General features: G+C 38.6%; 1 protein-coding gene and 2 pseudogenes across 4 annotated transcripts in view; 2 read left to right on the plus strand and 1 right to left on the minus strand.

Moving 5' to 3' along the window:
- Positions 3695-3798, plus strand: RNU6-709P (RNA, U6 small nuclear 709, pseudogene; annotated as a pseudogene).
- Positions 9389-9838, plus strand: UBE2V1P5 (UBE2V1 pseudogene 5; annotated as a pseudogene).
- Positions 13143-24163, minus strand: part of CCDC186 (coiled-coil domain containing 186) — a 53359-nt gene continuing 42338 nt past the window's right edge. For 3 of the 4 annotated variants that reach the window (XM_011539915.4, NM_001321829.1, NM_018017.4), the window contains 5 exons: positions 23428-23617; positions 22172-22252; positions 19742-19952; positions 18167-18386; positions 13143-17507 (listed from right to left, as the gene is read on the minus strand). In XM_011539915.4, coding sequence (XP_011538217.1) covers positions 17424-17507; positions 18167-18386; positions 19742-19952; positions 22172-22252; positions 23428-23617 — 786 coding nt within the window. In that variant the 3' untranslated portion in view covers positions 13143-17423. Of the gene's footprint in view, positions 17508-18166; positions 18387-19741; positions 19953-22171; positions 22951-23427; positions 23618-24163 lie in introns of all 4 variants that reach the window. The other variant, NR_135815.1, reaches the window with a different exon arrangement.

Below are 24163 nucleotides of genomic sequence, written 5' to 3' on the forward strand. Positions count from 1 at the left end.
TCTCTGCCCTTATGTATGTCATCAGAAGAGACAGATAAGCGTGAAATTGCTCCTAGTCCCTTGTCAGGGGGGCATTTGTTTGCTAGTGTTGTCATATTCACTGATTTTTTTTTTAATTAGTTGTTGGCCAGACACAGTGGCTCATGCCTGTAATCCCAGCACTTTGGGAGGCTGAGGCAGGCGGATCTCAAGGTCAAAAGATCGAGACCATCCTGTTCAACATGGTGAAACCCCATCTCTACTAAAAATACAAGAATTAGCTGGGTATGGTGGTGCGCACCTGTAGTACCAGCTACTCGGGAGGCTGAGGCTGCCTGAACCCAGGAGGCGGAGGTTGGAGTGAGCCGAGATCGTGCCACTGCACTCCAGCCTGGCAACAGAGTGAGACTCTGTCTCAAAAAAAAAAAAAATTAGCTGTTCAAGGCCATGATTATAACCATGGCAACTCTGGCCTCACACACATCTCTTAGAGCGGCCCATGAGCCCTCTAGAGCATCCTTTGACGTGGCCGTATTTTGCTCGGCTGATAGATGTCTTCTCAAAATGGCCCAGGGTATCCCTTGTTCTATTTACACTATTCTGTTCCATTTCTTCAAGACACAACAATTGCTAACCATCATAATTTCTTTCAACACGTCTCTATTTAACTAACTTGCTATGTGGAATGGTCTGAACTCTCCTCATTTTCCCCCGTGGTCTTTGAGAAAACTCTGAGGCTGGAGGATGCTTTGTGGCAGACTGTCAGAAGAGTCTGGATGTGCTAACCAGGCCCTCTTGAGTCTCTTACTGCAACCCAGGTCCAGATCACTTTGTTGTCATCTTGTTTGTTACCTTATTGACATCCTGTCCTCATTTTTCTTCTTCCCCACCCACAGCTATGTGCCACCTCCACTGAGGAAAAGCACTGGGCATTTGGAGCTCACGATTTCTTCATACACCCGTGAGTCACTGAAAGCAATGCGAGGCAGTACTGCACTTGGCAGATGACAATTAGTTTGTCCACTCAATTTTGAAGAGAAAATTACCCTCTTTGGGGAGAAATATGTCAAAATAATTTCTCAAACTATTCAGGAGTTACCCTTAACCTGAAGTTAAGTATGGATATAATGAACAGATTGTCAATATACTAGAGTGGATGGGATCCTCATCTGTGACGTTCTATTTAAATGCAGTTTTTCTGGCAAACCTAGTACTCAGTTCCTTATTTTTTTTTTTGAGACAGAGTCTTGCTCTGTCGCCCAGGCTGAAGTGCAGTGGTGTGATCTCGGCTCATTTCAACCTCCTCCTTCTGGGTTCAAGCGATTCTTTTGCCTCAGCCTCCCGAGTAGCTGGGACTACAGGTGCCCACCATCATACCTGGCTAGTTTTTAGTAGAGACAGGGTTTCACCATGTTGGCCAGGCTGGTCTTGAACTCCTGTCCTCAGGTGATCCGCCTGCCTCGCCCTCCCCAAGTGCTGGGATTACAGGCATGAGTCACTGCGCCTGGCCATTTTCTTATGTGTGACATTCAAGATTGTTCACAGCCTGACTGTTAATTAGATAACTTCCTAAGGTCCCTTCCTTTCCTATAGGTCTTACCATTTCTTGCTAAATATGATAAAGGTTGGCAATGGCAAAACAAATGCCATCTTTTGGTGCCAAGAACATGATCCAAAGTTCTAGCCAAATGGAACAAACAGGTGAACACGTTCTACACATTCCACGTTACCACCTCTGCAGCAACTTTTGCCCTGAGCAAAAGGCATGGAGGTTTCTTCCATCTGGACTTCCCCCTCTGATTTTCCTCCTGTATGTTCTATTTCTTCCTATCTGTGAAAGTCCTTCTCAAATGCTGTCTCTTCCAGCTAAAATCCCACCCCTATCAGTGCCATCTTAGGGCACTGATCTCTTCCCATCTTGTTCCAAGTTATGCACTTATCTCCCAAAGTGCCTTGCACATAAATAATGATGTTGTATGAATTTGTTAAATAATAGAATGAGAAGAAATGGTCTTTTTTCATTTTTTAAGCATGAATCTTTTGAGCATCAAACAGCAACCTCTTGTCTTTGTGCCTTTTCAGAAGGCTGTACAGAGCTCTTCATGCTCAGCTTCAGTAGTGAGCTGGGTCCAATCAGGAAATAGAAATCACATAGTGGATAAAATCGAAGTTTAATACAAAGAACTATTAACTATGATAAAGGAGTATCTATAAGATAAAAGGGGCCTGGCAGGGTGGCTCATGCCTGTAATCCCAGCACTTTGGGAGGTCGAGGCGGGTGGATCACCTGAGGTCAGGACCAGCCTGACCAACATGGTGAAACCCTATCTCTACTAAAAATACAAAAAATTAGCCAGGCGTGGTGGCAGGTGCCTGTAATCCCAGCTACTCAGGAGGCTGAGGCAGGAGAATCGCTTGAACCTGGGAGGTGGAGGTTGCAGTGAGCCGAGATCACGCCATTGCACTCCAGCCTAGGCAACAAGAGCAAAACTCCATTTCAAAAAAAAAAAAAGGTAAAAGGAAATCCTATACAGTATGCGAGGGTTCAGAGAGAGTACTCAAAGGAGGAGTTCAGACCTCGTTGGAGAAGGTATGTCTCAGCCCACTGGATAAGCAGCAATGTTAGATGGTTTGGCCAGGCCAGGGCGGGTCTACCAGTTGCTAGGTAAGCAACAGCTAACCTCTAGAGTGTGGCTGGAGAGCAGGCAGTCAGTCAGCAGCCACTGGTGTGGACATGCAGTAGGAGCCTGGACACCAGCAGGGCAGAGGACTTCAGAGCTTGTGGGCCACATGGAAACTTGCAGAAGGAATGGTTATCCTGTGTATGACCCTCTAGGCAAAAGTACCTGTGTGTGAGCCAGGCAGGAGCTTTGGTTTCCATGTCAAGAGAGCTATGGAAAGGTTACCATGAGAAGAGGCTGTAAGGTTGTAGATGGATGGTTTTTCTGGTCCCACGGCTGGGGCAGGCTCCACTGGATGGAGATCTTCACACTCACAGGGCTGACACCAGCCTCGCCCAGAAACCTGGGGAAGCCTCTTTCTCCTGGAATGTGCCTCCATTGCCCTCTACTGAGAAATCTTAACATCACACTCCCTTTAGTGGAGAAATGTTTAAAGGAATTCTCTTGTATATTACAGGTATTGAAGAGTGCATTTGGAGCTGTGAGGCAATAAATAGATGACCAACACATCCTTCATCTTTAGAGCTTCCTTAGTTCATTTGGTTCCAAGACCTATGGAACCCAAGGGTGATTAGTCCCTGTAAAGCCAGGAAAAGGCTGGCCTGGTGTAACCTCAGGCAAAACACTTCCTCCTATGAACTTTTTTCTTCATCTTATAATAAGGGGTTGGACCACATCAGTGGTTGTCAAATACCAGGCTATTGTGAGGTGAAGAAAACAAATACAGTATTTTGTAGAGTTGAAGCCATTCAGTTTAAAAGTTGATTCTTTCTACCTTTGTTTTCAGTGTTAAAACATCCTGTCGTTTATGAAATAGTGATAGTAAGTGGAAAAAAATTTTCATCCTTACTTAGCAAAATAAAAGCAAGCTCAGAATTTTGTTTTCAGTTTTCCTATCCTGAAAGTCTGGTCACTCTGGAACTGGATGTTTTCTCTCGAAGGTCGCTCTCATTTCTGACACTGGTCTAGAGGATCTGTTGGTCTTTGCTTCTTGTCATCCAATTTGAAAGCAGGCAGAAGAAACTCTAGAAAAGGTGATCGCTTCAGAGCACGTGTAGTAAATTCGGGTCTGTCACAGAATATCAGCAAGGCTCTGCACAATGATGACTGTCAAAAATATGAAGAGTTTCATATTTTTAAGATACCTTATTAAACTCTAGGGCAACCACAAAAATGTTTTAAAAAGAGGCATAACTCATAAAGCCATAATGAAAATATAATCAAATTTTATAAAATACTCAACACAAAAGCAAGCAGAAAACTGGACAAAGATGGAACATTTATTTCGGATATGTCTTGTTTTGTTTTTTTTTTTTTTTTTGAGATGGAGTCTCACTCTATCGCCCAGGGTGGAGTGCAGTGGCACAATCTGGACTCACTGCAACCTCCGCCTCCCAGGTACAAGTGATTCGCCTGCTTCAGCCTCCCCAGTAGCTGGGATTACAGGTGGCTCACCACCACACCCAGCTAATTTTTAATATTTTTAATAGAGATGGGGTTTCACCATGTTGGCCAGGCTGGGCTCGAATACCTGACCTCAAGTGATCTGCCCACCTTGGCCTCCCAAAAGTGCTGGGATTACAGGCGTGAGCTACAACACCCGGCCAATTTTATTTTTTTGAGGAGTCTCGATCTGTTGCCCAGGGTGGAGTGCAGTGGTGTAATCTCTACTCACTGCAACCTCCGTCTCCCAGGTTTAAGCGATTCTCGTGCTTCAGCCTTCCAAGTAGCTGGGATTACAGGCTCCCGCCACGATACCCAGCAAATTTTTATATTTTCAGTAGAGACAGGGTTTCACTATGTTGGCCAAGCTAATCTTGAACTCCTGACCTCAGGTGATCCACCTGCCTTGGCCTCCCAAAATGCTGAGATTACAGGCGTGACCCACCGCTCCTGGCCTAGCACATGTTTCTTGCTTAGCATAATGGCTGAGTCCAAGTGGCAGCAATGAGTCCATCAAAACACACATCATTTGAGTTAGGAGCAGTGCTTAAGTTATATGTGTTGCTTTGGAAGCACCACAGAACCTCAGCAAAGTATTGAGGGGAAAGCTTTATTACATTTAAGAGAATGAGAGCGAAGCATGTGGCGGGGTGACAGGTATGGAGACGCCGCTGCTTGTCTGGCTGCTCATCTTCATCAGCACCATCTCTGTGTCCCACACAAAGGGTGGCTGGAAATGAAACATCTAGACCTCCCTCCAAGGGAGGTTCGAGATGCGATTCATGCGAACACCTCCCTTTTGTTGGAATTAGTAAACATCCCAATCCTTACGGGGCTTTTTCTCTTTTCTTCCCCATTCCTACAAAAAGGTAACTGCCCCCCCCCGACACACACACACACACACACACACACACACACACACACACACACACACAATGTATATGATAGAACCAGGCCCTCAGGACAGAAGCTGTGTGAGAATGTCAGACAATTATGAATTTAAAAGCTCCAGCCATCTGAACACTTCCCCTGCTGACTTTGTGTGGTTGTGCACAAGAGGAAGGGGCTGGGTTGAGAATGAGTAGAACACGCACACAGCATTCTTCCATTCTTCCATTGTACTTATTCTCCAAATGCAGTGGCTACACCTACCAATCCACTTGTAGAAATGGGATTAGGCTCCAAGTGTTTCTCGGTAGCTGTTGAAAAGTCAAACCAAGGTCTGAAACTGGAATTGGATTATAGATCTCAGTTGATGCTGCTCAAAAGAGCGTGGCTCTCTTTCAGCAACACACATCACCTTCTCCCACCTCTTCCCAAACTCAGTCTGTTCCAAAGAAATCAGAAAATTGAACAATAGGATCTTTCTAGACAATAAATATATACATACACATACTATCTCCACACTCTCCCCCTTTTACCTTGCTAGAGGGTCAGGCATATAGCCCTCTAAAAATCAGGATATGATTCTTAGAATAATAATTTTTAAAGTTAACTATAGCAAAAGTAGTACATACTCGCTGAAAAACTTCCAGTAACAGAAAAATATAAATTCAAATAGAAAGTCCACCACTCTATAATGTGATTTTCAGGAGAAACCACTGTGGAGTCTGGTATGTATCCATTCAGAACTTTTTCTTTGCATATACACATGAATGCATATTTAAAGGTATTTTTTCCCTTTGTTGCAAAGTTTATGCTATTAAAGCAACAATTTTTACAGTACACATATATATGCATCCTTCAACTTTTTTTAATAATTATTTTTTTAGAAACAGAAATTAGACCTCTATTTTTGAAGATTTAGCTTAATAATATGTCCATGTCGCAGAGCTTTGCAGTTTTCAAAGTTCTTTCCCATGCATTATCCTGTTCACTCCACAGAATGGCTCTGCAAGGTGAGCTTTCTCATCCCCTTTTACAGATGAGAAAACTGAAGCTCAATGAGGTGGGTGATTTGTAAAAGGTTTCACAAAAAGTGGCAAGGTAGGGTCTTCCAAGTCCAAGTCCAGGGACCCTTACAGTCCTCTGTTGCCTCCTCTAGTTGGCTCTGAAGGAGATGGGCAGGAAAGGGAGTCTCTGTTACAGTCATCCACAAGGCAGTGCACGGGAAGTTATGTGTACAGGTAATTTAAAAGCTTAAGGAACACCTGGCTGGCACGATTGCTCACGTCTGTAATCCCAGCACTTTGGGAGGCCGAGGCAGGTGGATAGCTTGAGCCCAGGAGTTCGAGACCAGCCTGGGCAACATAGAGAAACTCTGTCTCTACGAAAAATACAAAAAAATTAGCTGGGCGTAGTGACACATGCCTATAATCCCAGCTACTGGGAGGCTGAGAGAGGAGAATCACCTGAGCCTGGTAAGTTGAACCTGCAGTGAGCCCTGACTATGCCACTGTTCTCCAGCCTGGGTAACAGAGTGAGACCCTGTATCAAAAAAAAAAAAAAAAAAAAAAAAAAGCTTAAGGAACACCTATTCACTGTCCAGACTGTCAAGAAAATTATGATGTGATTTATTACCTATGATTCCCCCTCCAAACACCTTTACAGTTTAAGAGGAAACAAAATGATTGTTTTTATTTCCCTTCTTTGACTGTGGTTAGAGGAAAAGCTAAGTCAAAAGACAATCAAAAGGTGAAAATAGAGGCACCAAGTCTCCAACAAAGAGTTTACTAGATCACACGCTCTTATGCATGGGCATCTTCTTTAAACTAATTATTGGTACTTTTGTTAAAAGCATATTAAGCATAGAAAAGGAATCTAAATATGACCTTACCCCACTTCCCAAGGTATTAGAACTTTTGACTTTTGGGAAGCAGCAAAGAATAGCAAAAGGCATCCATAAAGTGAGTTCAAATTCCAGCTCCACAAATACCTAGCAGTAAGCTCTGGGGTAAATTACTTTGAGCCTCAGTTTCCTACCTCATAGGGTTGTCTGAGCCTCACTCAAAGCAGTTAATTAGTATTTGTTCTCTGTACCTCCACTAATATGTTTCCTTTAAATGTGTGTTCTTTATCATTTCAAAGGGAAAACATTCTTAAAATACAAAAGCACTAGAGTAGGCTGCATTTGATTTCTGACCAGAATAGCTGCTAAATACTAGTCTGCTTTCTAAGTAACTATTGCATTAAGTAAACTTGGAAAATGCATAACAGCACCTCAGGGGAAAAACTTGTCCATGTATGATGATGGAGCTACTTTTCTTACGCTGAGAACAGGTATCCAGAATCACTCGGGGGCTTTACAACTTCATGGTGGGATGGATCATGCAGACAGCTGCCACCAGGAAGTGAGAACTATGCCCCCCAGATCTCACCTGTATTCGAACTTGATCCTTACCCCACTCCATCCTTGCAAAAAACTAGTAAGCTCCCTGCTTTTCATTTCCACAGATTGCAATACTCCATGCCACATATTTATCTGTTAATGAGCATCAGAAAACAGATTAACCTGGAAAAACGCTTTGGTATACTCTGAATAAGTGTTTCTTAAGATGAACTGGCTCTTTTAAAAGTTCCTAAAAGTCAACTTTAAATTACGTAATACATAATTCCACAAAAACCCTGCACCCTCTTCCCCATCCCTCCAACACACATACACACAAGGTTACCATAGCTAGGACTTTAGTGTGTATCTTTCCAGAACCCCCTCCTTAAAAAAATACATACATATATGTTAAGCTGGTATATCTCTAGGTTGATTTATAATTATAAAGGTACAAAGTGACATGAGGAATCACCATGGAACATCTTCCATAAACACGATACATTAGCCCAAAGGCTGCTGGTCCTACTTCATGCGGCACGCCAGCCATCCGATGCGTACGTAAGCCTATCTGTAACATGGAGCACTCGCATCACCTCAATTGCAATTTGACAAATTTGACAAGGACTCTTGCTGAACTTGATTCCTTTCCCCTTTCATCTCTCACTCACCTGACTAACCTGGTAAACAAAAGCCCACTCCAACAGGATAATGGAGGAAACGCAGATACAGCCAAACCAGCTCCGGATGGTGAGAAGTGTTCTGGTTGTCGTTTAGGGTGGGGTGTTTGTTCTGTGGGTCGAGTGGGCACAGACAAATGGAAAACATTCTTTCCTGCTCTATACCAAGTTGTTGCTGAAATGGGAACTGTATTACACCTGTGGGTCCAGTATGATCTTTAAAAATCATCAGCAACATCTTGGGCTTTGACATACAAGTTACTAGTATTAACAACATAAACTTCAGAGCACCTTTGTGAGATCGGATCATCCAATATCTTGGAAGGCACCTGATACTTCTGCTTCAACTTTTTTTTGGAAGTTGGTGCCTCAGAGCTTAGAAAGCATTTAATCATATCAAAGAAAAACAGTGACAAGCATTTTTAGGCAAGCACATTCCTCCTTTTTTACTCATAAGCTGTGACAAGTTCTTAAGATAGTATTCACTATTTAAAATATGATTTCTATGAGAAAGAGTTCGGAATTCCAATTAGAGACACCAGAAACAGACGCTTTGCAGCCTGCTTGTCCCAGCAGGCTCTCTGCACAATTCCCTCCACCCTGGCCTCAAATTAACACAAAGCAAAACACAAAATCTAGAAACAAGCTAGTTCAGAGTCCAAAGAAGTACACTCCTTTGGTATGGACACCTGGGGACCTGGTTTCTGGGGAAGAGATGGCATCGATAGGAGCTCTAGCGGGAGCAGAACCAAGACACAAAGTGTTTCTCCCAGAGGTGGCCAGCCCCACAGCTCCAGACCTAGAGCAAGGGCAGCAAGCTGGGGGATCTAGGGGGTGTCTTCCCTAGTCAGAACTCACCAAGGGGCCAGACTAAGAACCTTTAGGTAGTGTGGCAAGTTTAACTGATGTTTCTTGGGATAAGCAAAGTGGGAAGATGCTGAAAACACTCCCTTCACACCCTTGGGGCTTTAGTGGCTAAAAACAAAAAAACTACAGAAATGGATGATGTGGAAAGCTACTCTAGTATTTAATGTATTTCCTGAGTTAACTGTAACTAGAAGTTAACTATGGACAAGCTTGGTTATTTCAATGGATCTTAAACTTTCAACAGAACTTTTGTACTGGGTTAGATGGTAGAGATTCTTCTCTTGAATATAATAGCCTATCCGTTTTTATGGAGTGCAATTAGGGGCAGGTAGTATGTTAACAAGCCTGGCTGTTGGAAAAAGGCTGGAAATTCCTCAGAAATAAAATATTTCTTAAATATATGCTTCCCTTCACCTTGAGTTTTTTTTTTTTTTTAAGAATCAAGTCTCTTAAATGTAAGTTAGGGAGCAATGGCAACACAAGTTGGCAGCCACCACAGGCTTGGGAGTAAAAAGGTCCCTCGCAGTTTCCCATTGCTGGAAGAACATGAAGGGGGCCAGAAAAGAGGAGATGGCACAGTTAACTGGGGTCTGGAAGATGACAAAGACATGTCACTTACAGGATGGACAGGAATGATGACTGGGCCTCCGAGAATAATTTATGAAAACCAAATATCCAGCCTTAAAGTAGAATGTGGACCTAAATACCCAGAAGCACCCGCTCTGTAAGATTTGTAATGAAAATTAATATGGAGTTAATAGTTCCAATGGAGTGGTGGGCCCAAGATCCATATCAGTGCTAGCAAAATGGCAGAATTCTTAAAGCATCAAAGTTGTCCTGCAAGAGCTTTGGCGCCCAACGATATCTAAAGAAAATATGAAAACTCCCTTAGCCTCCTGAAGGACAATGTTACAGCAATTAATCAAAAAGAAAAACCACAGGCCCTTCCCTTCCCCACAATTCAATTTAAGGAGTCTTCATTTTCCACAGTAAATTTTCTAGATATGTCTTGAAGACCTCAAAGTACTGGAAAAGAAGCTCCCATTCAAAGGAAATTTATCTTAAGATACTAAATGATACTAATTTTTTGTCCATTTGAAATATGTAAATTGTGCTATAATAAGTTATCCTGTCAAGTGTAACCACTGTCCACGTAGTTGAAATTCTGGGATCAAGAAAGTATATTTAAATTGACTCCCATCATAACTGGTGGGGCACATCTAACTGTGAAAAGACACATCACACAATCACCTTTCTGTTGATTACATGGCCTGGGCTCTCTGCCTTCTCTCCTTGCCCCTCCCCCCAGCTCGTACCCTCCCTGCAACAGCCCTCTACTCTGGGGTGCTTGTTACCCTCTTGCCCTAAATCTTCCTTTCTCTTGCAAACAAATCCACAGTCTACTGAAAGCAGATTATTACATTGGAAAGGTTTCTTTACTAATTTTACACTTACTCTACAGATCTTGATTTCAGGGGATTCTTTCCAATAGTTAACTCATTAAGTTACACGGCATAATTTAAGTGTACCAGAACTGTTAGAGCAATGGAAACCAATGCCTTGTGATGTGAAATATTCCATCACGCATGCTAACTTGATTAAATGCCATTTTAGTATCTTCTTATTGAACATACGTAGATGTGAAGGCTTCAGGCGGCAGCCTGCTGGGTACATGGGGTGCTTTGCCTGCACCCCTGGTTTAAGTCTTAAATGATGCCCCTTCCAAGCCATCATCCTGTCCCCATGCTCTTCCACTCCTACCTTTGACTGAAGCACAGATCATAACCCCTCCACTTCCGAGACTGGCCTTCAATGAGGAATTTAGGGCTTTCTCCATATTTTCTCTTCCCCAGCTTTGAGGGGTGCTTTTTCTTCCCTCCTCCTCAAGTTCCTTTTGCACCATCACCACCCAACACTTTCCATGACACTTCCTTGCTTTGGCCAGAAGCCATTAGGTAAGGTTGGAAAGTTTTCCTGACCTCCCTTGTTTAGTTTTGGAACCTCACTATTCACTCTCCACCAGGCTGGAAAACAAATATTGGGTCCTCAGTCCTGCCACTCTCTGCGGTCATCATCAGCTGATGCGTTGTTTTTAGCTCAGGTTTTGATAAAGTGAATTGTCTCCAGGGTTACTCAGACCTGCCAGCTCTCAAAGTCCTTGGTGGTTAAACTTGGAGAAAGACCACATGAAGACACTCATAAGCACACATAATCCCTCTGTAATATTTTTTTCTGTAATTGATTTTGCTTTTAGAAATTGAAGTTTTAAACAGGGCTGTCATTTGGTCATCCTTCCAATTCATTGGGGTCTAGTTTAAAATATGACAATTGGAACAAAATCTTGAATCCAGTGCATATTCTGGTTTTGGCATTGCGGTTGCTTCTGAAGATCCTCAGCAGGGATTGAGACCTTGGTGTGCACAGCAGACCCCTGAAATTGGTGGGCTTGACCTTCTGGCAAATTGCTTCGTTTTTCCACTTTCTGTTCAGGACCGCTACATGCTGAAATGTGGATGCATACAGAAATAAATGCAGTTCATTAGGTACTAAAGTTTTGTTTTTTTTAATTTGGTATTTGTGTAAATTCACCTTTTGAAGCAATAACTATCAAGTCTAAAAAGCAATTGATGTTTCCATTAACGTTTTTCTGGGGAAAAGTTAGTTCTAAGGATTTAACATCCTGTAACTGAAGTTTAACATAACAGTATCCCATAAGCAGTCTTTTTTATTGTCAGACTACTGCCAAATTTTAATTTTAAAAAGTGTACTTTTTTAAAAAAGTGTAAGTTAGAAATTAATAACAGAGCATCTCTACGGGGCAGAAACATCAAGTCTGGTCACACTATTCTCAGACAGTCATTAAAACTCAGCATTAGTATCAGTTAATCACAGAGGAACGCTCCTGAGTTGCTGCTCCTGAAGGAGCAGGTACTCATTCTGCATTCATTAACTTAAGCTGATTTTATTAAGAAAAAACAGACTTGGATATAAGTTCATCAGAATGGCCTTCCCATCTCATGACTGCAGGTCATACTGACCACGTGAATGGTACTTTGACATAGTTAATTGAATATAAAGGAGCCACTAAAAGCCTCTGCTCATAATTATCACCTCAAGTCACTACTCTCCTGCTACGTGGACCTAAATCAAGAACCACGGCTAGTATCTTTCCTTGATTTACCCTCTTTCCCTATATCTTCCTTTCTCTTGCGAACAAATCCACAGGCTACTGAAAGCAGACTGTTAAGTATGTTGGAAAACTTTCTTTACTAATTTTACACTTACTCTGCAGATCTTGATTTCAGGAGATTCTTTCCAATAGAGAACTCATTAAGTTATATGGCATAATTTAAGTGTACCAGAACTGTTAGAGCAATGGAAACCAATGCCTTGTGATGTGAAATATTTCATCCCACACATATTCACTTAATTGAATTAATGCTTTCAGTGTCTTCTTATTGAAAATACTTAGTTCTTTATTACTGAAGCTAGACTACATGGCAAGTGAGTTCTATAATTTTATGGAAAATCTGAATACATCACTGGCTTATCAAATAAGAAATTTTCACATACCTATAGGCCACAGAACCTTTTGTAAAAGGCTGATATGGTCTGGCTCTGTGTCCCCACTCAAATCTCATCTTGAATTGCAATCCCCATAATCCCCATGTGTCGAGGGAGGGACATGGTGGGAGGTGACTGAATCATGGGGACAGTTTCCCCCATGCTGTTCTCGTGGTAGTAAGTTCTCACAAGATCTGATGGTTTTATAAGTGTCTGCAAGTTCTTCCTCCCTCTTCTCTCTCTCACCTGCCACCATGTAAGATATGCCTGTTTCCTCTTCCACCATGATTGTAAGTTTCCTGAGGCCTCCCCAGCAACGCAGAACTGTGAATCAATTAAACCTCTTTCCTTTATAATTACCCAGTCTGGGGCAGTTCTTTACAGCAGTGTGAAAACCAATTAATACACAGGCTAAGTTTTGCTGTCAATAATTTAAACAAAAATTTAAAATACAACCCAGCATTCAACTTAATCTGCTTACTATTGTTCACTGACTTCCAATCATATTGATAGAATAAAGACAACTATAGAAAGCAAAAATTCCCAGTCTAGTTAAAAAAAGGAAATTGAAGCTATTTGAATCAGTCTTGCCAACAGTCTGAAGAATCAGTCTGTTTAGCAAATGGTGCATATAAACAAATAAAGATGCCATCAAACTACAAGTTGGTAAATAGGCATTACCTATTTAATAAGTACAATATATACATAGAATCCTCTTGAAAAGTTTCATTTTATACAGAAACATATTTACAAGAAACAGTGTAATCAAATTAAAGGTATCTGTACAATACACACACACACACATATATATATGTCCTCTGGAAGATAAACAAGTTTCATCATTGCAGTCAAAATGGATAGCGATTTGCATTTTAGAAAAAGAATTCCATTCCAGAAGAAAAATACATCTCTAATATACAATTATATTTTTCATTTATTTTCCTAAAAATTCTCCATGTTTAGATTACCTTTTCAATTTTTCTTTGTTCATCTTTGAAAAATTTCAGGTTTCTAGTGCCACCAACTGGTGTTAATTAAAAATCAACAATCTTGGTGTCAAAAAAAATTGCTTTTAAAAAAAGGTTATTGAAAAATAGGCTACATAAAGCATAAATGACAACATGATTTATAAAAATATTTTCACCAGGGTAGCATATATAACAACATTTACATTATTAAGGATTCTATTTTTTTCTTTTACTGATAAATCTTGGTTTAAATTTGCATGTAACAATTTTTAGAAAATAATATACTGCAAAAGAAAGATTGGAAACATGCGTGACATGATTAATCTTTATGAGCACCAAATAGGCATTAATAATTTAATGGTAAAAAATCTAATGCCATCTTATGGTCTTTGGATTTTTTATTTTTTCTTAAATAATGAAAATCAAACTATGATAAAAGTTAGGAAACGTGCAGAACCACCAGGAAAACAGCAATTTGCTTTCAGCGTACCTTTGCAAGGATGTTCCAAAGCCTCATGTACGAGTGAGATTTCTGGGCCACTTGCACAAGTAGATAAACCCTCTTCTCAGGCCAGTTATAAAGGGCTGAGATGAGCCACAGAAGCCCAAGATCTGCTCTGATTGTCTCCTAGCTATTTTCTTTCCTCTTTTTTTTTTGAGACAGGGTTTCACTCTGTCACCCAGGCTGGAGTATAGAGTACAGTGGCAATCATAGCTCACTGCAAGCTTCAACCTCCCAGGCTCAGATGATCCTCCCAACTCAGCCTCCTGGGTAGCTGGGACCCCAGCCATGTGCCACTGCATCTGGCTAATTTTTTAATCTTTTGTACACATGGGGTTTTGCCATGTTGCCCTGGCTGGTCTCAAACTCCTGGGCTCAAACAATCCTCCCACCTCAGCCTCCCAAAGTGCTGGGATTACAGGGGTGAGCCACCACACCCGGCCCCAGCTATTTTCATTAGACCATGAACTCCATGAGGATGGAAATGCCCTGGTCTGCTCACTAGTATAAATACAATACCCTGTATGGTGCCAATACAATAGTATAGGTTTTCAATAAATGTGTTTATTAAATAAATAAATAACATGTTGGTAGCCTGATAAAATTTAATTTCAAGCTAAATCGCTTTAAATGGTTATGAAGATAGAAAGTAAAAACAAAAAAACCCCATCAAAGTTCAAATTCATTCTTCTGCCCAAACCTACCATTTTCAGTCCTTAAAACTAAACAGGCTAAAGTCTGAAGTGGTATGGGGAAAATGGAGTCATGGCAAATATTCACTTCAAAATTAAAACCTATTGAAGTGTATACATATACATACACAGAAAAAATCACTTCCAGCTCAAATAAACCACAATATTGATACATAACCAAAACAGCCTTGATATGTAACAACCAATAATGAACATATAAAACAAACTTCCCCCCAGGTCTCAGATTTATCCAGATCATTTTCCTTTTCCAGATACCCCATTCTCCTCACCATATATTCAGAGGGCAGAAGGCCCTCTAAATCCTTACATCAGGAGCTGTCTGTGAATTAGTATAGAGATAAGTATCTCTGATACATGTAATTACTTTGCTCAGTCCTGATCCATATACAAAAGCACACTGTAGACAGTGAAGAACAGAAGAAAACTAAAGCATTTTCTTTAAAAAATTTCCAGTTTCTAAAATGTATAAGGCAAAACAGGTAATAGAGTCAAAATATTGTTTGTAATACTTTTCTTCTAAAATTTTCTCATTAAACTTCTCCAAGTAGATGGTAGCACAAATATTAATACTGGAGTGTGCATTTTTGTCTAAAATGTATATACATTTTAAAGTGTATAGGCATAGGATACTATGGATCAGATCACTATTTGGTCTCCATTATACATTTTGTGCCTTGGGGAAAAAAATCCAAATATTGTAGTTTATGAACCTGTATCATAAGAAACTAGAAAAATTTAGTTATGTTGCCTACTCAAAGTAGTCTTTAGGAGTGTTAAGTAGTGTGTCTAGAAACAAATAGTAAAATAATTCAGATTTGATTGCACTTTCCCTCTTATTTTGATAAATTATTATTGGTAAAAAGAACAAGACACATTATGTTAAGACTAATACTTTTTATAACTATTCTAAAAATAAAACATCTTTGAACATATATTTTCATTTTGAAGTGAAAAGATATTTTTTTTGGGATAACATCTAATTCAATATATAGAAAAAAAGACATTCATTAAATAATCTAATCCTTAGTAAATTATTTTTAAACGATGTTGATTAAAAAATGTTAAAACACATTAAAAGGATATTGCCACCATGAGCCCAACTTTTAGAGCCCAAACAATTCTTTACAGGCTTTTAATCCATCATCCCAAAACTTAATTCCCTTAATGGGAGAAAAAGGGATGCAAAAATCCAAACCAAACAAGGCTTGCTGCAATATCTGCATAAGAGCCACGGTATCTTATTATAGTAATGATCTGAAGATAATGAATTATGAAAAATCATGCTCAGAAATTGTAAGTGAGAAATAATAAGGGGTGAGAAAAAATTCAATGACAGAAATATTGATACTACGGCAACACTTAAGTGTCTATCTTAAACACTGTAAAAAATCCAACAAGATAGAAAAATTTGGCTCTAAAATTAAGTTCCTTTGGTTACAGATATATACTTATTTTAGGTATGTGTGAGGTTTTTTGTTTTAAGAGACAGGGTCTTGCTCTGTTGCCTAGGCTGGAGTGCAGTGACACGATCATGGCTCACCTGCAGCCTTGACCTCCTGTGCTCAAGTGATTCTACCGCTTCAGCCTCCCGAGTAGCTGGAACCATAGGCATGCACCACCATGCCTGGATAATCTTTTAAAATTTCTTTGTAGAGATGGGGGTCTCGCTATGTTGCCAAGGCTGGTCTTAAACTCCTGGCCTCAGGTAATCCTCCTGCCTTGGCTTCCCAAAGTGCTGGGATTACAGGCGTGAGCTACTGCACCTGGTCTACTTTATGTTTTAAATAAATACACTGAAACATCACATTTGGGGGAACTGTATGATCACTCCACTATAATACATAATTAATATATCCATGGTAAAGAATGGTGCTCAAATGAAATAGTTTATAGTGCCATATGCTGGTTTCTTTTGGAAGCTGGTTCTTCATATTATCTTTACACAAGGTCAGTAAAACTAAAGTATTTCAGTTTCAAAGAACTATTCTCTCTGTTCTAATGATTGGATCCATTTCACAATTTAAAATATAAGTAAACACAGGAATTTTCTAAATTAATATGTAATTTAAAATCATATTTTAAGTAACTAAAAACTTTAAAAATTCAACCATTAACTCAAACAATCAGAATCTGAAAAAATGTACCTAAAACAGATAAGAAAACCTGACAGAGGCAAACAATGCCTGATCATTGCTAGTTACCAAGAGCTAGCTTTCCTATTAAGTTCAGCTTTCATTAAAACTGAAATTAAAAGATTTAAATATTCATACACATCCCTAAAACTCACCCGATATGCTGGAGTGTAAAAATAAACATTTTTATCATTTGTTTTAGTTGTCTTGATGTTGGAGAAATAGCGTATTACTGAATGTTTACCACCTGTTTTCATGCATAATTTTTAAAAGGTGAGTCATTTTTGACATTACATATTTTAAAGGGAAGAAATATGAACAAAGGGTTTTTTATAAAAGCCCTTGTAATGTTCAACACTTCTTATGAATACAAGCAAATTAAGTTGTTTAGATTCAATGACAGGCTGTCATATTGCACCATACAAAAACAAATTTCATCAAAGCTTTCAGTCTTACAGTATATACAGCAATGCATTCATATTGTAAAAGGGTATTTTTTTGTGTACAGATGAAGCAAAACAATATTTTTACTGGCTGAAACAAAAAGTGGAACAAAGTCTCCAACAATAGAGGTCAGTGGCACCTACTCCTGTGTGGCTTTTGTCTCTTTACTGAGCAAGAGGCTTGTTTTAGGTTTTCTTTGTCCTCTGTTCTAGTTCATGCTGGTGTTTAATAAGACGTTCTATTTCTGTTCCAAGTGTTTGTAGATTTTCCTTTAATAATTGGGGTGAGGGGAAAGGGAAGAGAAAAACAAAAGTATAATAAATAAAACAATTCAGTTTGAACTATTTTTTGCCTAAATTTTGGAAATGAAAGAGTGGTTAGTCCTAAATGCTATGTCAGATAAACTAGTGACACACAGCTGTTTTCAGTAAAGTACTCCTGTCCATTTCAAAGTAACACTCAAACTTTCTACTGAAGCTACAGCAATTTTTAATGCATAAAATGATTACTTACTATTACTGATTTTAAAATTATTTTTAAACTAACTACTAATTTTCAAGGCCCACCCACAGCAAAAATAAAATATTAACTGCAAAAAATAAAATAAAGCTGAAAAATAAATCAGAAATGTCATAATCTTAAAAAATTATTTTAGCAATCAAAACTAATTATATGTCAAAGCCCATCCAATGCAAATTTAATGACATCTTAGTGTCTGTCAAATACAAAATTAATTTTTGCTATTTTTCATCTTTCCTAATATAAAAAACTATACTTTTTAAAAAGAGAAAATCACGAAACTTCATCTTTGGGTAAAATGACTGCCTTGCATTACAGAAACAGCCCAGCTGATTGCTAGATCAGACTGTGAAACAGGCATCATTTTGCCATGTTTACTGGTTGGTGTGTGAATGAGAAACACAAATACCTTCAAAGTAATATTTTTTAGTAACGTATCCTCCAAAACAGCCTGTAATTTTCGGTTGATTTCCAAAGAGAGCTCCAATGTTAATCCATTGTCAGCTGGATGGGATGTATATAAAGATGCCATGATGCCACCCCGTCTACTTAAATGAACTTTGTTAAAATCAGATGCCTCTGAAGAAAGTGTGCCTGATTCTTCTCGTAAAATATAACTTTGAATTATTCTGCAAAACAAAATGATAGTATCAGTTGTGTACTTGTAGAATTAAAAAAAATGGAATCTGCAAAAGTCAACTAATCATAAAGATAAGCATAAAATAAATATTAGGTTAATAACCTAACTATATTAGAAAAGAATTCTCCTTATTCAGATGGTTTCTTAAACTATCTCATTTTTGTTCTATTGTAGCATTCGGAGTAAAGACATATAAACATTGCTTTTCTATTTCTTTCCTTATTAATCAAAAGTTGAGCTTTTTTGTTTGTTTTTAAAGAGATAAGGTCTCATTTTGTCACCCAGGCTGGAGTGCAGTGACACAAACATAGCTCGCTGCAGCCTCCACTGCATCGGCTCAAGCGATCCTCCTGCCTCAGCCTTCTGAGCAGCTAGGACCACAGACATGTACCACCATGCCTGAATAATTTTTTTTTTGAGATGGGGTCTTGCTATGTTGCTCAGGCTGGTTGACCTCCTAGCCTCAAGCAATCCTCCTGCCTCGGCCTCCGGCCTCCCAAAGTGCTGGGATTACAGGTGTGAGACACCATACCTAGCTGAGCAATTTCTTTATTGCTCAATTTCTGTTAATATTTTCTGTTTTCCTCTTATTAGACTTACAACTTGCTGTACTTTATGCTCTTTCTTTTAAAAGTCACAGGCAAACTTTCCTATAAGTCTAAAATTATTTCAAAATAAAAATTAAAAAGTCATTGGAAAAGGCCCACAATATAAAAAAACTTTTATTTACATAAAACAGAATTTGTGAGAGGAATTTGGCGCAGCACTCCTGAGTTACTCAGAGCTGGGTTTGGATCTCCAGCTCTAGGTCTGTCACACAGGGGATGAACGGTGACCCTGGAACATTTAGTGATGTGACCTGAGCCCCACTTATCTGCAAAATTAGAGAACTCACGCACTGAGTGGTTGTAAGCAATCAATGAGATACCGCCAAGCCACAGGCACAGCGCCTTGTACTACTAGGTACTCAATAAATTATCCCACTACATCCTACCCAACAGGAAAAAAAATCCACAACCCCATATATACCTCTTAGAGCCACAGTCATGAAAATAAAAAGCTAAGTAAAGCATTATCTTTTTAAAATCTAAAGTTGTTTAAGTATCTTAAAAATATTAACACTGACTGAACTCTCTATCACCTTAAAGGAAAGACGTGTTTTATTTCATCTTAGTATTCACAAAACCTAGAACATAATAGGTGACCATAAAAGACTGGGAACTGAATAACTATAATTATTTTTTGAAAGATAGGTTCTTGATATGACTAATTTTAAAAACAGTAACTTTGCTATATGAGTAACGGTATTTTGAAGACCGATCATGCTACCGTAATAATACATACTTTGTTTTTTTCCTAATTTCTTCCACCAGTTGTTTGATGTGGTCCTCCATAAATTCTATCTTTTCATTTTTCCGGGCATGTGCTTTTTGCAGCCTAACTATTCTCTCAATCAACATGGCCTTATCTACTTGTGGAAAGTTATCCACAGCTACTGAGGACCCAGTATTTTCTGGAGATCGATCTTCTGCACTGCTTCGAGCATTCAGGGACCCTGAAGACAAAAAAAATTGGTTTAGATACTGTGCTTAATCTAACATCACCTCTCATCTCATATATTACTTATTCCAGCATCATTTCAAATATTCACTCTAACAGAGTTGGACACAGAAGACAACACAGGTCAACGTGGCTGAGGTTCTGGTTTCTGAATATACTGGTGACAGAAGTACCAACAGGGTCTATACTGTATCTCTCAGGAAGTGGTAATAGAGCAACAAGGATCTCAAAAAGAATAACAAGTCTAAAGTGAGACCAAAATTAAACTATAACAGAACAAAGCAGAGAGGAGGAGGAAGGGAGGAGAGGAACAGAGGTATGAGAGGAGACAGAAAAAGAGAGGTTAGAATATAGTGGGTTAAGCTCTGAGGACAGCCTGTCTAGGTTCAAATACTACTCCTCTACTTACTAACTGTGTGACTTTGGACAAGGTATTTAATTTTCTGTGCCTTGGTTATGTCATCTTAAAATGGCATAAATGATATTATTTACCTCACAGGATTGTTATCCTCATTTAAATGAATACATGTGAAATGCTTAGAAAAAGGCATATAGTAAGCATTATGTAGTGTTAGGTATTACTTTTACCAACATCAATGAGAAGAATCTGATCCTCTTTACCCTACAAAGATTAGTTTTTTCCAATCCGATTTTATAGCTTTAAGTAATATATCTTATCCAAAGTTATATAATGAATAAATGGCAGAGCTGGGATCTAAATACATGTCTATAATTTCAAATCCATGTTCTTTCTACTACACATTTTTTCCCACTATTGTAACAACTGATGATGGTTTTCTCCTAATGTGCAACCTCTGGGAGGCAATATAGTGTACTGCCAAGCAAGGACTGTGGAGTCAAAGAGTTCTCACTGTGGATTTTGGGTGAATCATGCAGCCTCTCTGAATCTTGGTTTCCTTATCTGTAAAATGGGAATTATAATACCTACCTCACATGAATTTTTTGCAGGGTAAATGGTATGTTTCAAGTGCTTAGCATGGTTCTTGGCATTCCAAAAAAAGACACAAACACTGATATTTTGCTAATTATCATTTTCACAATGGGTTCAATCATAATTTTATAGACTCTACCCATTTTTACTTTAGGACATAGGTATATCATGAGAAAAACTAAAAGATGTAAAAATATATACATGTGCACATATATGTAAAAATCTGATACACAATGATGACATCTTCATTTGTTCTTGGGTGTTAAAAGAAAAAGAGAGAGACCACTGTACACCAAATCTCTTTGTATGAATTAACGTAAATTTCAATTTTAAAAAACGGAAGAGGAAGCTGTTGCACAGAATAAAGCAGCAGCAGGCTAGAAAAAAGAAGGGGCTGGGCGCGGAGGCTCAAGCCTGTCATCCCAGAACTCTGGGAGGCCAAGGTGGGAGGATCACTTGAAGCCAGGAGTTCAAGATCAGCCTGGGCAACATAGTGAGATCTTGTCTATACAAAAAACAAAACAAAAACATAAAAACAAAAAATAAACATTAGCTAGGCGTGGTGGCAAGTGCCTATAGTTCCGGTTACTTGAGAGGCTGAGGTGGGAAGATTGTGATTGAGGCTGCAGGGAGCCAAAGTCACACCACTGCACTCCAGCCTGGGTGACTGAGTTAAGACCTGTCTCAAAAAAAAAAAGAAAGAAAAAGAAAACACAACGAATAAAAAAGAAGGTAGGGAGACAGATCATCACATAGAACCCCATGACAAATCTGAAACCCCAGGTCATGAGTAGAACTTAAATATTTAACCAGAAACATTTTTTACAATATAATTATATATAACCACAATTTTTCATACTTCAAAATGAAACAAAGCATATCAATACTTTTTAAAATAAAAAATGCTATTTATTTATTTATTTTTTGAGACAGAGTCTTGCTCTGTTGCCCAGGCTGGAGTGCAGTGATGCGATCTCAGCTCACTGCAACTTCCACCTCCAAGTGATTCTCGTGCCTCAGCCTCCCGAGTAGCTGGGATTGCAGGCGTGAGCTACCACACTCAGCTGATTTTTGTATTTTTAGTAGAGACGGGGTTTCTCCATGTTGGCCAGACTGGTCTTGAACTTCTGACCTCAGGTGATCCACTCATCTCGTCCTCCCAAAGTGCTGGGATTACAGGTGTGAGCCATCACACCTGGCCAAAAATGCTATTTATTTTTATATCAATCATGAAATAACAACTAGAGCCACTAGTTTTTTACCTGATGAACTAGAACGACTTCCCATGCTGCTGACTTCTTTGTCATAGCTTCCACTCTCAACCTGATCTAATTTTCTTCGTGCTATAGGAAAAAGAAGATTATTCGTCACAATTATCAGGACCATTTGCTCCTACCATCTCTGACTTTAATTGCTAAAATCACTGAGGCAAAAATGGCATAGACAAGAGAAAGTTCTTGAATACATACTTTAGGCAGAGGGCTATGTCATTCATATAAAATGTCATTTGGAAATGTAAAAGTCAAGTACAAAATATACAGAAACAACATTATAACTGACACTGGCATCACTTAATTACAGTGGAGTTAACTTTTTAAAGTATTGAAAGATTTAGAAGTTCCTTACAGTACCAGAAATTTCTTCCAAATTTCCCTTCAATTACATCTATAAAAACAAACTAAACTCTATGGCAAATATCTGAATATATTTGTATTAAGTAAATGCTAAGTCCCTTTTAGCTTATTACTATATTTCACCCTATTTTAACACAAATAAAGCCGTGAGAAATAGTAGAGAATAGGAGGTTGAAATACGTGTCTTATTTATTTTTGTATCCCAAGCATATAGCACAGACACCCAATGACTGTATGACTTTTTAAAAGAAAGAAATCTGGAATCCAGTTCAGCAGTCAATTGTTATGTCTGGGTAATTTATAACTTTCTGGGGTCTGTTTCTTGAAACCCAGGTGAAGAGTTAAGTCGCAACGATTTCCAAGTCAGAGGACGCATCTCGGGTATCTGCACCCTAGATGCCGGTAGCCTAGATGCAGCACAAAAGAAATCACAGGAATGTAAAAGAAGATATCAGAACTGCTATTTATACTGATATTTAAAAATAGATTATTTTAAATTTCTATTTTTCATATGTTCTAATATATATAAAAGACTAACACATGTTTAAAATGTATAAATAAACATATCTAAATTGGATAACAAATGCCTAAGCACTTTTTATTGACAGGAGTATGTGATCAAAAGTTTAGATACTAATGCCCTAACATTGCTTTCCCAATTCTCATGTTTTGTGATTCTGTGAGTAAATGTCCTTTAGCATACAAGATATCCTTTAGGATAAAAGATCGGTCATGAAATTCCAAGAAGTTTAACAATTTGGTTTACTAATATTAACAAAGAAAACATACAGCTTCAATCAATGTGGCAGAATCACAAAAAATAAAATCCTAATGATTAAAAGAAACAAACACATTCATGGTCTAAGTGTGGAAGAATTTTATACCTTGCTGAAGTTGTTTGGTGAGATCCTTGATACTAGAGGCATGTTTACGTCTCTGAGTTACTAACTCATCTTTTAATTCTTCTACCTGGGTACTCAATGCTTTAACTTCTGTTTGTCTACAAGCGAGTTCAGCTTGCAGAGTTTGGACTTCCTCTTTTCGCAGTTCTTCCTCTTTCAACAACCTACTTTCCTGAATAGTAAGTAAAACAAAAACCACCAATTTTAGTATGTTTGTTTCCATTAATGCTCAGTTTATATAACCTTAACAATCTAAGGTTCTTGACAGTGGAGATTCTTCTATTATTATTCCTTATCAGCTTTTGTTTACTTGAGCTTCTCACAGTTCTCATATAGAAAAGCAGGGGGATACATTAAGGAGAATGTCATTCTATACATACCAAGCAACATGTGATACAGGTTGTTGAATTTTTGGACTAAAGTCTCAAATCATTTTTATGAGTAACTTGAAGACACTCTCATAAATTATAAAAATAGAAATTTAAAGTACCTTTTAAAAATATACAGTGATTCTAGTCAGGAAGGACACAAACCAGTTTTCTCATTTTCAAAAGTAAAATATTATTCATAATCATTTTAGGAAGAAATTTTATTATAAATTATAACAGTTGAGGAAAAACTGACATTTCTTACAGCAGTTGAAATTGTCAGAAAGTCAGTGTCCAGGAAAGAACTTAATTCAACTACTATTACTTTTATACTGTTAGGGAAATTTAAT

The sequence above is a fragment of the Homo sapiens genome, chromosome 10, assembly GCF_000001405.40.
Source record: "Homo sapiens chromosome 10, GRCh38.p14 Primary Assembly".
NCBI lineage: Eukaryota > Metazoa > Chordata > Mammalia > Primates > Hominidae > Homo > Homo sapiens.